General features: G+C 43.4%; 1 protein-coding gene across 4 annotated transcripts in view, besides 1 other annotated feature; it reads left to right on the top strand.

Annotated features, from left to right (window-relative positions):
* Nucleotides 1-6,441, top strand: part of SEL1L (SEL1L adaptor subunit of SYVN1 ubiquitin ligase) — a 62,307-nt gene extending 55,866 nt beyond the window's left edge. For all 4 annotated transcript variants that reach the window (XM_047431676.1, XM_005267988.4, XM_005267989.5 and 1 more), the window contains one exon: nucleotides 807-6,441. In XM_047431676.1, coding sequence (XP_047287632.1) covers nucleotides 807-1,016 — 210 coding nt within the window. In that variant the 3' untranslated portion in view covers nucleotides 1,017-6,441. The remainder of the gene's footprint in view (nucleotides 1-806) is intronic.
* Nucleotides 7,403-7,462: an enhancer, noted in NCBI's record as "active region_8829". NCBI's record gives its function as "activates an Ori minimal core promoter by ATAC-STARR-seq in GM12878 lymphoblastoid cells {active_cell/tissue: GM12878}" and the evidence as "EXISTENCE:reporter gene assay evidence [ECO:0000049][PMID:35858748]".

Raw genomic sequence — 16,610 nt, 5'->3', positions numbered from 1 at the left:
AGCTATTAAATGTTTGAATTCCTGCTATTTTCAATTACATGGGAATTGTGAAATGGCCCCACTGTCATGGAACAGAGCTTTCCAGCTGGTGTGCTGTCACTGCCAGTAGGTTCGCTGTGCCAAGATACTAATTTCTCCCCTTGGCTCACCACTGTTTTTTTCTTTTTTCTTTCCTGAGACAGAGTCTTGCTCTGTCGCCCAGGCTGGAGTGCAGTGGCACAGTCTCGGCTCACCGCAACCTCCACCTCCTGGGTTCAGGCAATTCTTGTGCCTCAGCCTCCAGAATAGCTGGGATTACATGCACCCGCCACCATGCCTGGTTAATTTTTGTATTTTTAGTAGAGATGGGATTTCACCGTGTTGGCCAGGCTGGTCTTGAACTCCTGGCCTCAAGTGATACACTCACCTCGGCCTCCCAAAGTGCTGGGATTACAAGGCCTGAGCCCCCGCGCCTGGCCCCAGTGTTGTTTTGTTTTGTTTTGTTTTCCAAATATTTTCTGTGAAAAATGATTAAAATTAGCGTATTGGATTACTGGTGGAAAGAACACTGTCAGACATTTTATATTAAGTGTCAGCTATTATAAATTAGTAGCTTAATTCCTCAGACACATTATTTTGAGCTTCAGTTGAAGGCTTTTAAAACCGCTTTAAACACACACACACACACACACACACACACACACATTGCAAAACGTTTTTAAAACAAATTATTTTAATTTCTGTACTTACTTCTGGTGATGTAACTTTCCCAGTTCCTTGCCTGACATTTTAGTGATAATAATGGTTTCTATATTATTTTCATTAAGATTCGAGATATGTTCACCCAACTTGATATGGACCAGCTTTTGGGACCTGAGTGGGACCTTTACCTCATGACCATCATTGCGCTGCTGTTGGGAACAGTCATAGCTTACAGGCAAAGGCAGCACCAAGACATGCCTGCACCCAGGCCTCCAGGGCCACGGCCAGCTCCACCCCAGCAGGAGGGGCCACCAGAGCAGCAGCCACCACAGTAATAGGCACTGGGTCCAGCCTTGATCAGTGACAGCGAAGGAAGTTATCTGCTGGGAACACTTGCATTTGATTTAGGACCTTGGATCAGTGGTCACCTCCCAGAAGAGGCACGGCACAAGGAAGCATTGAATTCCTAAAGCTGCTTAGAATCTGATGCCTTTATTTTCAGGGATAAGTAACTCTTACCTAAACTGAGCTGAATGTTTGTTTCAGTGCCATATGGAATAACAACTTTCAGTGGCTTTTTTTTTTCTTTTCTGGAAACATATGTGAGACACTCAGAGTAATGTCTACTGTATCCAGCTATCTTTCTTGGATCCTTTTGGTCATTATTTCAGTGTGCATAAGTTCTTAATGTCAACCATCTTTAAGGTATTGTGCATCGACACTAAAAACTGATCAGTGTAAAAAGGAAAACCCAGTTGCAAGTTTAAACGTGTTCGAAAGTCTGAAAATAGAACTTGCCTTTTAAGTTAAAAAAAAAAAAAGCTATCTTGAAAATGTTTTGGAACTGCGATAACTGAGAAACTCTTACCAGTCCACATGCAATTAGACATATTCAGCATATTTGTTATTTTAAAAGGGAGGGTTGGGAGGTTTCTTATTGGTGATTGTCACACGGTATACCATACTCCTCTCCTTCAAAGAATGAAAGGCCTTGTTAAGGAGTTTTTTGTGAGCTTTACTTCTTTGGAATGGAATATACTTATGCAAAACCTTGTGAACTGACTCCTTGCACTAACGCGAGTTTGCCCCACCTACTCTGTAATTTGCTTGTTTGTTTTGAATATACAGAGCCTTGATCCAGAAGCCAGAGGATGGACTAAGTGGGAGAAATTAGAAAACAAAACGAACTCTGGTTGGGGTACTACGATCACAGACACAGACATACTTTTCCTAAAGTTGAAGCATTTGTTCCCAGGATTTATTTTACTTTGCATTTCTTTTTGCACAAAGAACACATCACCTTCCTGAATTCTTTAAATATGAAATATCATTGCCAGGGTATGGCTTACAGTGACTACTATTATAATACTAAAACTCAGAGAATCAAAGATGGATTAAACTCAGTGGTTGATGAAAGCCAAAACCTGTTTGTACTGTTCTATACTATTCAGGTATCTTTTTATTTCTGATAGTTTTATATTATAATAGAAAGCCAGCCACTGCTTAGCTATCATAGTCACCATTTTCTCACTGTTAACATTAGGAAAATCAAGGCTACTATGCTTCAGGATTGTCTGGTTAAATAGTATGGGAAAAAAACTGAAGAGTTTCACATAATTACACACGTGAAATAATTAAAGCTTAAACTGAATTTGTATTTCATTTTATTGTCAGATGGTGGTGTTCACCAGCCTGTATCTTGTCTGAGACTGCATTCGTATCTGAGCAGGTTTTCTATGCCTACTGATGTCAGTATGTTTATACTAACCTTCATGCTTTTTTCCCAGAATCCCTCATCTGCCAGAAAACTTGAAAAGTTTATTGCTTGTAGAGTTGTACTGCTTTGATTTTTGAAGTTGGGGTAGTAGTTAGAACTAGATTTAACTAGTCTATAATGAACATGAAGGCTTTTATATATGAAGTTGTATACCTTTTTGTGTTTAGAGAATTATGGGAAACCTGGTAAGCAAAACTTTCCTCCCAGATAATTGCTTCCAAATTCGAAGAGTTAGTCACCAAGAGAGCCATATGTATGAAAGCGTATCTGTGAAAGGTAGGAAACTTACCCCCCCTAAGTGTAATGTTGCTTTAGGCAACTCTTGTAAATAGTGAGACTTGTTTGGTCTCTTACATGTAGAGATTTGAGTGCAGTTGGTACAGTACTTTGGTGTCTCCACCACTGTCCCTTCTCCCCGCTTCAAAATAAGTGTAATCCACGGTAGCAGCCACACTTCCTTTAGAAGGAACTGTTATAATTTATTTAAAAGTTGAAAAACCACCCAAGATGACTACCAACTTTCACTTTTTTCTTCTGCCATCCACCCTCATTTTTCCTTTAGCAAGATTTTTATATCTAACTTTCCTTCCCTCCATTGAGTACGTGCTTTGAGAAAACATTTCTTAAAACAGTGTGTGCCACCTAAGGCTGGATGGGAAAGTGCAGTCTTGTTGTTCATATAAAAACACACTTCTTATTAGTTTACCACTTGCCTTTTTCTATTGTTAATGTTCTGAATTTCCTTTTCTTGGCTTGTTTCTACTTCATTTTACCCTGGGTCACTTGCTGCCAGCAGTTTGTGAATGGTGTCTTTCAAATAACTTAGTTCTTATGGCTTCACTTAAAGACTGTCTCAAAAATACTTTGCTCTCTTCTTCTTTTTTGTTCATGGGACATGGTACCTAAGCAAATAGGAGTTGGGTTTGGTTTTTCTCCTAAAATAATGCTCAATACTTACCTAATCAAATGGCATCCATTTGAATAAAATGACAATAACTAAAGCTAGTTAATGTCAGTGACATTAAACTAACTCCAGGATTCAGGAGTTTTAATGTTAGAATTTAGATTTAACAGATAGAGTGTGGCTTCATTTGTCCATGGTAGCCCATCTCTCCTAAGACCTTTTCTAGTCTGTCTTCCTGCCTTCGAACTTGATGACAGTAAAACCCTGTTTAGTATTCTCTTGTGCATTTGGTTTGTTGGTTAGCCGACTGTCTTGAAACTATTCATTTTGCTTCTAGTTTTATTTTACAGAGGTAGCATTGGTGGGTTTTTTTTTTTTTTTCTGTCTCTGTGTTTGAAGTTTCAGTTTCTGTTTTCTAGGTAAGGCTTATTTTTGATTAGCAGTCAATGGCAAAGAAAAAGTAAATCAAAGATGACTTCTTTTCAAAATGTATTGTTTAGCACTTAACTCAGATGAATTTATAAATTATTAATCTTGATACTAAGGATTTGTTACTTTTTTGCATATTAGGTTAATTTTTACCTTACATGTGAGAGTCTTACCACTAAGCCATTCTGTCTCTGTACTGTTGGGAAGTTTTGGAAACCCCTGCCAGTGATCTGGTGATGATCTGATGATTTATTTAAAGAGCCGTTGATGCCTCCAGGAAACTTAAGTATTTTATTAATATATATATAGGAATTTTTTTTTATTTTGCTTTGTCTTTCTCTCCCTTCTTTTATCCTCATGTTCATTCTTCAAACCAGTGTTTTGGAAGTATGCATGCAGGCCTATAAATGAAAAACACAATTCTTTATGTGTATAGCATGTGTATTAATGTCTAACTACATACGCAAAAACTTCCTTTACAGAGGTTCGGACTAACATTTCACATGCACATTTCAAAACAAGATGTGTCATGAAAACAGCCCCTTTACCTGCCAAGACAAGCAGGGCTATATTTCAGTGACAGCTGATATTTGTTTTGAAAGTGAATCTCATAATATATATATGTATTACACATTATTATGACTAGAAGTATGTAAGAAATGATCAGAACAAAAGAAAATTTCTATTTTCATGCAAATATTTTTCATCAGTCATCACTCTCAAATATAAATTAAAATATAACACTCCTGAATGCCTGAGGCACGATCTGGATTTTAAATGTGTGGTATTCATTGAAAAGAAGCTCTCCACCCACTTGGTATTTCAAGAAAATTTAAAACGATCCCAAGGAAAGATGATTTGTATGTTAAAGTGACTGCACAAGTAAAAGTCCAATGTTGTGTGCATGAAAAGGATTCCTTGGTTATGTGCAGGGAATCATCTCACATGCTGTTTTTCCTATTTGGTTTGAGAAACAGGCTGACACTATTCTCTTTGATTAGAAAATAAACTCATAAAACTCATAATGTTGATATAATCAAGATGTAACCACTATAAATATGTAGAAGAGGAAGTTTTAAAAGACCTTAAGCTGGCATTGTGAAGGAACACCATGGTAGACTCTTTTTGTAAATGTATTTTGTATTTAATGAAATGCAGTATAAAGGTTGGTGAAGTGTAATATAATTGTGTAAACAAATCCTGTTAATAGAGAGATGTACAGAATCGTTTTGTACTGTATCTTGAAACTTGTGAAATAAAGATTCCACCTCTGGTTATCCTGTATGCTGTAATATACCACAACCAAGCACCTTTCCAGACAGACTTTTTTTAAGCTGAATGATTCAATTTTTTAATGTTTTTTGGAAATTCAGAAGCTTCTGAAAACATTCACTTGTGGCAATTTGAATTTATCTTTCATTTTAAACTCCTGAAATTCAGATTTTTACAAGTCCAATATTGCCCTAGGGAGAACATGAATTTGCTAAGAAATGTTATCTTTTAAATCTCTGATATCTTTGTCTTGAAGCAGCCTTGATATGTAGTAAGCGTGATTCACTTTAGCCTGATTATAATATTATTTATCTAAAGTTTGTTTATGCATTGCCTTGTCCCAGGAATTTTTTAAGAGGACTTGCAGAGACACGTACCACACAGTAACATTTAGACTAAATATGCTCTGAGTAAAGGAGAAATGAAAAAATATTAAATCAAGAGTGAACATGTACACAAAGTGCAATTGGAAGTGGGCTACAAATTTGGCCCCCAGCTTCCCAGCAGGCAACTCAAAGAGGTAACTGAGGTAAAATGTTCCAGCTCAGAAGCATTGGATCTTGGATAAAAAGCCTACATGATGCAAACTGTGGCAACTGAGATGTCAGATCTCAAGATCTCAAATTGTACTTGTGGGAGCACAGTCAGTGACCCCAGATGACCTTGACTGACCTAAAAGTTGTGGGGGAAGTCGGATGTCAGAGCCTTAACACCAGCAGGTGACCATCCAACCTGGGGCAATGCCTGCCTGTTCACCACTTAGCCTCTTTCTGGCAAGTCATTAGAATGTCCTCCATCTTCATTGGCTGCAACTTGATGAGCTACAGCCTCTTTCCTAACTTCCTTTATGATGCTAGTTTAGGTTGGTTATACCAGCTTGGAAGTATGCTTAGATTAAGTTACAGCAGATACACAAATTAGATGCAAGTAAAAAAAATCAGAATTTCTGTAGTAGAAACTACGAAAAATAAAAAGGAAAGTTTTTACTTTTTGGGTATTTTTTTACGAATAAGAAAAAGTGAGCGTTAATCAGTTCAAAAGGAGGTACTGCTGTGTAATGGGCTTTGTACGTTCCTTCTCATGTCACTTACGTCACTACTTCGCCATCAAATTGAACAAGCTTTTAATTAGATCCTGAAAATTCACTATGCTAGTAGTTTATTGGTAGTATTATATTTTGAGTAGAACTCTGATTTTCCCTAGAGGCCAAATTCTTTTTATCTGGGTTAATTTCTTTTAAACATAACAATGTTAATGCTGAATTGTATATTAAATCCCATTTCTAAAAACCACACAATTTTTTCTCATGTAAGTTGAGTGGAATGTGGTTAGTTAACTGAATTTGGAATGTTCATATAAATAATTTGTTGCTGCTCAATCCGGTTTCCCACTGCCTCCTCTCTACCGCCCAGTATAACCTCGTTAATTCACCTCTCGGACTTGGAAAGAATGTCTCATAAGTCTTGGGAGATAAGAGATTCAGGTATCCCAAGTAAGGATTCTAACTTCGAAAATGAATATGTCATTGAGTTTTACACGATTCAAGATTCAAACGTGGGCAACAGAAATCTCTGTTCTTGGAAACAGATTTATTTCAGGATGTGAAAGCCCAGCTGTGGGTTTCAGAGTTTGCACACCTGCATTTCCTCACCCTTCATCTGTGGCCATGCTCGTAGATGCTTTTCTTAGGAAAATTTGATTAATTGAACTTTTTTTGTTCTAAATGCAATCTGAAATGAGTAGAGACTAACGCTGGCTGTGCGTGCGTGTGTGAGTGCATGGTAGTGAGGGGTTGGGGAGCCTTCCAGCTGATTTTGTTTCCCTTAAGTACTAATGAAGAATTTACTTGAATTGTTCTAACCTGTACATGTATTTTCTTTGACCTATCATTTGGACAATGTTCTGTGGTTAACATCTTAAATTTTTTTTTTTTTTTTTTGAGACAGGGTCTCACTCTGTTGTCCAGGCTGAGTGCAGTGGCTTAGTTAGAGCCCACTGCAGCCTCAAAACTCCTGGGCTCAAGAAATTCTCCCACCCCAGCCTCCTGCATAGCTGGGAGTACTAGTGTGTGCCACCACGGACAGCTATTTTTTTATTTTTTGTAGAAACAGGGTCTCCCTATGTTTCCCAGGCTGGTCTCAAACTCCTGGTCTCAAGCGATCCTCCCACCTCAACCTCCCAAAGTGCTGGGATTACAGGTGTGAGCCACTGTACCCAGCCCATCTTACTTCTTTCAGTGCATGGAAATTTACTTCCAGGACCGCGAGAGCTGAGAAGAGCACGGTATTTTCCCTTTAGCCTTCTTTGGACCGTAGCTGAAGTATGTGCTGTAGGTGAAAGCACCCACACTGGGCCTGTAAAGAACTGCCTTTATTTCAAAAGGAGGAAAAAGTAATTGAAGCCTTAAGTTTGTGTAATTGGTATCTGTATTTCATCACTCATTTGAGACTTAAAAGTAATTAAAGCCTCATAACTAGACTGATGTTTTGTGTTCTCACATTAGCTAAACCAAAGAATCTATTGAGTCTCAACACAGTACATTAAGTTAAGAGAGCACATTTGTGCCTTCGAGCAGTTAAATAGAGGAGAAACCCATGAACAGAGATGAAACCCCAATTTACAGAGAAATGAAACTCCATGTCATCTGACCTATTGCCACTACTTAAAGGGGCTTTGTAATTGTGAGTCACCATTTCAGGGCAGGCCATTATGACAAATCAGACAGATGCATAAGGGAAAGGTCCATGGCTGGGTGCAGTGGCTCACGCCTGTAATCCCAGCAGTTTGGGAGGCCGAGGCGGGCGGATCACGAGGTCAGGAGTTCGAGACTAGCCTCGCCAACATGGTGAAACCCCTTCTCTACTAAAAATACAAAAATTAGCTGGGCATGGTGGTGCGCGCCTGTAATCTGAGCTACTTCGGAGGCTGAGGCAGGAGAATGGCTTGAACCCAGGAGGTGGAGGTTGCAGTGAGCTGAGATCGTGCCACTGCACTCCAGCCTGGGTAACACAGCAAGACTCCGTCTCAAAAAAAAAAAAAAAAGATCCAGACACAACCAACCGTTTGATCCTCGCATGAGTTCTTCTGAGTTGCCCAATCCCCTCCCAAACAGATTAGTGATAGTCAGTCCTAGCCCCACTGAATGGCCCTATGCGAAGGAAAACGGGAAGGACGCCATAGCGAGAAAGTTCTGGACTGCAGTCGAGTCTTCACAGTGGTTGGGTGACCCCAGACAAGTCATTCGCTGTACAGGGTTCTCATAGGCATCAAGAGACTGGGTACTGGGGATGGTCCTTAAGGTCCTGTCCAGCTGTGGGAGGTCTTAAGTGCCAAAAGAAACCAAATTGACTTTTTATTCCACTGACACCAGACCCTTTACAAGGCTTCCTGGTGGAAATGACAACATTCCACTGTCCTAAAATGGTTGACTCCAAACAATTTATAAGTAAAGTTTATGTTAAAGAGGTCAATATTAAAGTTTATACATAAGGGGTCGGGCGCAGTGGCTCATGCCTGTAATCCCAACACATTGGGAGGCCGAGGCAGGCAGATCGCTTGAGGTCAGGAGTTTGAGACCAGCCTAGGCAACATGGTGAAACCCCGTCTCTACAAAAAAAAAAAAAAAAAAAAAAAAAAAAATTAGCTGGGCATGGTGGCGTACGCCTGTGGTCTCAGCTACCTGGAAGGTTGGGAGGCTGGGGTGGGAAGATCACTTGGGCCTGGGAGGTGGAAATTGCAGTGAGCCAAGATCATACTACTGCATTCCAAACTGGGTGACAGAGTGAGACCCTGTCTCAAAATTTAAAATAAAGTTTATAACATAAGGTTTCATGTGGGCATTCATTCAACAGCCTTTATTAATCACCTACTATCTTCCAGACCCTGAAGTGTAAAATGAATTTAAAGATGAGTATGAATGAAAGACTGAAATGAAAGAGGCTGTTTTCCTCTGCGGGTCATCTTCACCATTGACTGAACACAATATGTGACAGATGCTAAGTGTTTTACATCCATTATTGAATTTAATCTTCAGTACTCCAGGATGTCAGTACTAGTCATGTCATTCTCATTTAACAGATGAGGCAACAGGCTTGGACAAGCTAAGCAACTTGCTCAAGGTCACTCAGCTAGTGTTAGTCATAAAACTCGAATTCAAATAAAGAACTGGGCAGGGCATGGCGACTCACACCTGTAATCCCAGCACTTTGGGAGGCCAAGGCAGGTGGATCACCTGAGGTCAGGAGTTTGAGACCAGCCTGGCCAACATGGTGAAACCCCGTCTCTATTAATAATACAAAAATTAGTTGGGTGTGGTGGTGCATGCCTGTAATCCCAGATACTCGGGAGGCTGAGGCAGGAGAATTGCTTGAACCTGGAAGACGGAGGTTTCAGTGAGCCGAGATTATGCCACTGCACCCCAGCCTGGGGGACAGAGTGAGACTCTGTCTCAAAATTTAAAAAAAATTGTCTTGGCTAAAAGCACCCAAGTTGTAAACTGTTATGTTATGCTGTCCCCTTAATACAGCTTGGTAAGGTTTACAGTGGAGTTATAAACGCAGTGCCCATGAAGGAACAGGAAAGAGTAACAACAAAATGAGCAACGTTTCTCCCAAGTGTGCGTCATCCTAGTCCATGCTCACAAGTGCTGTTCTATGCTTAGCATGTGCTGCTAAAGCAGTGTTTGCAGACATCTGCTGCTTTACAGTTGTAAAGACATAAAAAAACAGCTAGAGCACATCGGGATTGGCTTGTCTCTGCTCCACCATGTCTAGTGTGAGGTGAGATGGCTTGACTGGTTTGAGGAGCCATGTGGCTGGGACCGCAGCCTTTTTTCGTTTGACATACACCTGGAGCTGAACATCCAACATGGCTCCTTCACACACATGCCTGGTGCCCAGGCTGGGCTGGCCAGCATCACCCTCTCCACGTGTGGGGATCTCGGGGCAGACAAAACTGCCTCAGAGTGAGCACTCCAAGAGCCAAGATGGTGCTCAGGGGCTTCTTAGGACTAGACTTAGAAATCTCAACCATTGGCCAGGTGTGGTGGGTCATGCCTGTAATCCCAGCACTTTGGGAGGCCGAGGCAGGCAGATCATGAGGTCAGGAGATCGAGACCATCCAGGCTAACATGGTGAAACCCCACCTCAACTAAAAATACAAAAAATTAGCCAGGCGTGGTGGTGGACACCTGTAGTCCCAGCTACTCGGGAGGATGAGGCAGGAGAATGGCATGAACCCAGGAGGCAGAGCTTGCAGTGAGCCCAGCTTGCACCACTGCACTCCAGCCTGGGCAACAGAGCAAGACTCTATCTCAAAAAACAACAACAACAACAACAACAACAACAACAACAAAAACACTCAACCATCATTCCACTGCATCCTATTGGTCCACAGGTCACTTGGGCCAGCCCAGATTCAAGGGTTGCTGGTTGGAGAAACAGGATCCACCTCCCAGTGGAGGAGTGACTTGGGCATCCAAGGAGGGAAGGAGTGGATGGTGGCCCTCTTCAGATGAGGCTGCCACAATCACAAATTCATTCTTCTCCATGGTATCAGCAAACTTTATAGTTAGTAAATAGTTACGGAAAACATCAGCGTTTGACTTGCTTCTAGATCACATCTCTGTGTATAACTTATGCTATCAATTGCTATCAAGTGTAATACAGGGTGACACAGTGAATCGGGTATCAGCACTACCTTCAAGGACTCCCTAAACAGTGGCCTTCAGGCGCTTGGCAAGACTAACGCTACTTCCCTGGTTGGAATTTGTAAGAGCTTCTCATTTAACTGCTACCAACTCAGTTTGTCTACAAATTTAGAATGAGACCTCCCACATCCATTTACCTGAAATAGCTGAGCTAATGGAGATTAATGGAACTAACGGGGGAGTGTGTGCGTGAGCAGTATTCATCATACCTATTTCAATTCTCCTCACTGCTGGGGCCTCAACACTATGCTGTGCCTTTTTTCCCTCCCTCTGCCCTCTGCCCAAGCTCACTCTCCTCCAAGTCTCTGCTCAGACTTGCCTGACTGCCCCCCCATTAAATCAAGACCATCTGTTATACATCCCCCGTGTTTTCCCTTTATAGCACTTATTGATTATGGTATTTAATTAATCTTCATATCCCTATTGTTAAATCTCAAAAGGACAGGCACCAGTCCATCTCACCCACCAGTGTGGTGTGTGCCCAGAGCTTGGCACAATGTCCAACACTTAGGACTGATTAATAGTTGAATTACAAATTAGCCAGACATGATGGTGCATACCTGTAATCCCAGCCACTAGGGAGACTGAGGCATGAGAATCGCTTGAAGCCGGGATGCGGAGGTTGCAGTGAGCCAAGATGATGCCGCTGCACTCCAGCCTGGGCGACGGCCACGGAGGGAGACTCCATCTATATATATATTTGTTTGTTTATTTATTTATTTATATTTATATAAAATGGAGTCTCACTCTGTCACCCAGGCTGGAGTGCAGCAGTGGGATCTCAGCTCACTGCAACCTCCACCTCCCAGGTTCAAGCGATTCTCCTACCTCAGCCTCTTGAGTGACTGGGATTACAGGCACCCACCACCATGCCCAGCTAATTTTTGTATTTTTAGTAGAGACGGGGTTTCTCCATGTTGGCCAGGCTGGTCTCAAACTCCTGACCTCAGGTGATCCGCCCACCTTGGCCTCCCAAAGTGCTGGGATTACAGGCATGAGCCACCACGGCTGGCTATATATATATATATATATATATATATATATTTGAATTTGAATGAGCAGATGGACTTTCCAGTAGAAATAACATTCTGAAAGATAGTGAAGACCCAGAGTCATCTCTTGTGAAAACCTGCCTAAATACAAATGTACTTGAACGACTTATGTGGCACTGTGTACTTAACTAGCTACTTCATGTAAGATTTCTCTGAACTAGTTACCCAATCAATTCTCCCTGTTCCCAAGAAAGCAGGAGAAATCCCTCCTAGAAAAACAGCTTCAAGGAGGGAAAAGAAAGTGAGTATGTCTGGCAGGTGCTTTCATGGCCCATGGGGGACCCAGGGATGACAACTTCTACCCCGCAGTGGGGTGGCGGTGCTCCAGAAATTGGGTCAGGAGGGCTCTACATTGAAGGCAATCCACTGAAGTGACAAAGCCCTTTGCCAACCAAAAAGCAGGAAACACTGAGTACTTAAGCCACCGCTGAAAAGAAACCAAGGCAGCCCCCGCCCTCCTTGATACAGTGTGGCAATTCCACTCAACACCGCCTGAATGCTTATTAAGGCGAAGGCCTTGTGCCAGGAAGGAGGGGCACTGTGACGGAGCTGGGGGCTAACTCTTCCACGAATGCTACCTGGAGATGCTGTTGGGCGTGAATATTCTTACACGGGGCATGGCCTTTCCACGCATGTCTTTCTTCCTCCAGTAGGTTGACACTGTCATGAGATCATAATGATGAGAAATTGCAAGAAATATAGTTGGAGGATTTGCTTAGATTTTCTTAAAAGTGTTACCGGCTGGGCAAGGTGGCTCATGCCTGTAATCCCAACACTTTGGGAGGCCAAGGCGGGTGAATCATGAGGTCAAGAGTTCAAGACCAGCCTGGCCAACATGGTGAAACCCCATCTCTACTAAAAATAAAAATAAAAATAAAAATAAAAATAAATAGCCGGGTGTAATGGCGTGCACCTGTAATCCCAGCTACTCGGGAGGCTGAGGCAGAGAACTGCTTGCAGGAGGCGGAGGTTGTGGTGAAACAAGATCGCGCCACTGCACTCCAGCCTGGGTGAGAGAGCGAGACTCTGTCTCAAAAAAAAAATAATAATAAATAAATGAAAGTGTTACCAAGTAGTGATACTCTGGCCAAAGTACGATTAAAAACTGAAAACCAAGACGTTTTAATATCTCTTTAAGGAAAGCGCTGCACCCCCTTCTTAGGATTTTATGGCTGGAGGAGATACACAGCTGTCATCATTCTGTCTTCCTCCCCCAAGCAGCCTCCACTTCTTTTGTTTCTGTAAAAAGGAAGTGCAGGGCAGAGAAGAACCGAATTCACAACTCAGGCAGTTTCCTTTTGCTCTGTTTAGCATTGCTTCTCTCAAAGATGCACAGTACATTGGATTGGATCATAGTATAGACGGTCCAAGCTCCTTTTTTGGGTTGAAACGCAACTTATGTCTCACTAATCTTTTTAAATCTGCGACTACCGGTTCCTCGGAAAAGTATGACTGCAGTTACCGTAATTTCCACTAGAGGGCACAAAAGGGCTACATCTGAGGCAAAGTTTAGGCGATAAAACTTTCTGGGTTTTTCGAAGTTTTTCAGACGTCTTTTCTGGGGTAGGCAAAATCTGAGGGACAGGTGCTCCCCAGATTTCCTGGAATAAAATCACTGTAACTACTAGAAACATCACAAAATGTTAAAAAGTACACTAGGCCAGCAGTGTGAGTTGTGACGTGTACACAGCTTTCTGGCTGATGTCGCTGAAGAATGAATGTGACGTTCCTCTGTAGGCAAGTGATGCACCCCCTGCCTCTAGAAATATTTTCGTCATCATCGTGACTAAATGATGGCTTCCATAAAGAGATGTCTTAGGCACTGGCACCTGTGTGTGTAGCCTTATTTGGAAAAAGTTAAAGATCACCAGCTGAGATATTCTAGATTATCAGTGTGGGCCCAAAATCCAGTGACAGGTGTCCTTATTTTTTAAATTTTATTATTTATTTATTTATTTATTTATTTATTTATTTATTTTGAGAGGGAGTCTCACTCTGTCGCCCAGGCTGGAGTGCGGTGGTGCGATCTCGGCTCACTGCAACCTCCACCTCCTGGGTTCAAGCAATTCTCTGCCTCAGCCTCTGGAGTAGCTGGGATTACAAGCACCTGCCACCACGCCAGTCTAATTTTTGTATTTTTTGTAGAGACAGGGTTTCACCATCTTGGCCAGGCTGGTCTTGAACTCCTGACCTCGTGATCCACCCGCCTCGGCCTCCCAAAATGCTGGGATTACAGGTGTGAGCCACCATGCCCGGCCAACAGGTGTCCTTATATGGGAAAGGTGGAGGGAGATTTGACACACAGAAAAGGAGAAGACACAGAGCAGAGGAAAATGCTTTGTGAAGATGGAGGCAGAGATCAGAGTTCAGCTGCCACAAGCCATGCCAGGAGCCACTAGGAGCCGGAAGAGGTCAGGAAGGGTTCCCTTTTAGGGCCTCCGGAGGTAGCACAGCCCTGCAGACACCTTAATTTTGACCTTCTGGACTCCAGAACTATGAGAGAATAAGTTTCTGTTGTTTTAAGCCACCAAGTTTGTGGTGTAATTGGTTACAATAAGCCTAGGAAACTAGCACAGTCATCCTATACCGTGAGTGGTCAATGGGAGCGATGTGACTCCAAGGAGGAGAGAATGGGCTCCCGGTAGGGTGTGAAAAAGTCCTAGATATTACAATGGTTTGTCATCCTCCAAGAGGTCCTATAAACAGCTTTATGTATAAACATAAACAGATAGACAGTATATTTGTGGTATTAAAGTTTTATACATAGTGGGGAGGAGAAGGACAATTAGGAGGGGAAAATGTCTAAAAGGGCTCCTTAGAAGAATTCTTTTTTAGGATCTCCCTCGTCTCCCTCTGCCTCGTCTCCCTCTCCCTCTCCCTCCCCCGTCTCCCTCTCCCTCCCCCGTCTCCCTCTCCCTCCCCCGTCTCCCTCTCCCTCCCCCGTCTCCCTCTCCCTCCCCCGTCTCCCTCTCCCTCTCCCATCTCCCTCTCCCTCTCCCTCTCCCTCGTCTCCCTCTCCCTGTCCCCGGTCTTCCTCTGATGCCACCAAAGTTGTGAAAGCGGAGGCTGGACTGTACTGCCGCCATCTCGGCTCACTGCAACCTCCCTGCCTGATTCTCCTGCCTCAGCCTGCAGAGTGCCTGGGATTGCAGGCGCGCGCCGCCACACCTGACTGGTTTTTGCATTTTTTGGTGGAGACGGGGTTTCGCCGTGTTGGCCGGGCTGGTCTCCAGCTCCTGACCGCGAGTGATCTGCCTGCCTCGGCCTCCCGAGGTGCCAGGATTGCAGACGGAGTCTCGCTCACTCGGTGCTCAATGTTGCCCCTGCTGCAGTGCAGTGGCGTGATCTCGGCTCGCTACAACCTCCACTTCCCAGCCGCCTGCCTTGGCCTCCCAAAGTGCCGAGACTGCAGCCTCTGCCCGGCCGCCACCCCGTCTGGGAAGTGAGGAGCGTCTCTGCCTGGCCGCCCATCGTCTGAGATGTGGGAAGCGCCTCTGCCCTGCCGCCCCCTCTGGGATGTGAGGAGCGCCTCTGCCCGGCCGCGACCCCGTCTGGGAACTGAGGAGTGTCTCTGCCCCACCGCCACCCCATCTGGGAGGTGAGGAGCGTCTCTGCCCGGCCGCCCCGTCTGGGAAGTGAGGAGCCCCTCCGCCCACCAGCCGCCCTGTCCGGGAGGGAGGTGGGGGGCGCCTCTGCCAGGCCGCCCCGTCTGGGAAGTGAGGAGCCCCTCTGCCCGGCCGCCACCCCGTCTGGGAGGTGTACCCAACAGCTCATTGAGAACGGGCCATGATGACGATGACAGTTTTGTCGAATAGAAAAGGGGGAAATGTGGGGAAAAGAAAGAGAGATCAGATTGTTACTGTGTCTGTGTAGAAAGAAGTAGACATGGGAGACTCCATTTTGTTCTGTACTAAGAAAAATTCTTCTGCCTAGGGATGCTGTTAATCTATAACCTTACCCCCAACCCGGTGCTCTCTGAAACATGTGCTGTGTCCACTCAGGGTTAAATGGATTAAGGGCGGTGCAAGATGTGCTTTGTTAAACAGATGCTTGAAGGCAGCATGCTCGTTAAGAGTCATCACCACTCCCTAATCTCAAGTACCCAGGGACACAAACACTGCCGAAGGCCGCAGGGTCCTCTGTCTAGGAAAACCAGAGACCCTTGTTCACATGTTTATCTGCTGACCTTCCCTCCACTATTGTCCTATGACCCTGCCAAATCCCCCTCTCCGAGAAACACCCAAGAATGATCAATAAATACTAAAAAAAATAAAAATTTAAAAAAAAAAAAAAATTCTTTTTTAAAAGTTGAGAGGCCAGGCGCGGTGGCTCACGCCTGTAATCCCAGCACTTTGGCAGGCCAAGACAGAGTGAGACTCCTTCTCAAAAAAAAAAAAAAAGTTAAGAAATGCAGTTCAAGGCGAGGAGCAGTGGCTCACGCCTATAATCCCAGCACTTTGGGAGGCCGAGGCGGGCAGATCACTTGAGGTCAGGGGTTTGAGGCCACTGCACCCAGCCTAAATAAATTTAAATAAATTTAAATAAATATTTGAAGAATATTAATTTGCAACTTTTCTCTTATTAGCCTACCCAGGGCACCGTGTTCAGCCCTAATCAGTTGTCTTATTTTCTAAGATATTCTTTCTTTCTTTCTTTGTTGGAAACATACATTTAAAAAGACAAAAGTTACCTAATTATCACTCAAGTTCCAGAAGCCATAAAGGAAAAGATGGATACGTTTCACCATAAAATGAAAACAGTATGCTTGACAAACCTGCTGTGATCAAA

Source organism: Homo sapiens, chromosome 14 (genome assembly GCF_000001405.40).
Source record: "Homo sapiens chromosome 14, GRCh38.p14 Primary Assembly".
In the NCBI taxonomy this organism is placed as follows: Eukaryota; Metazoa; Chordata; class Mammalia; order Primates; family Hominidae; genus Homo; species Homo sapiens.
The sequence above is the reverse complement of the archived record's forward strand: the minus strand, read 5'-3'. Positions and strand labels throughout refer to the sequence as shown.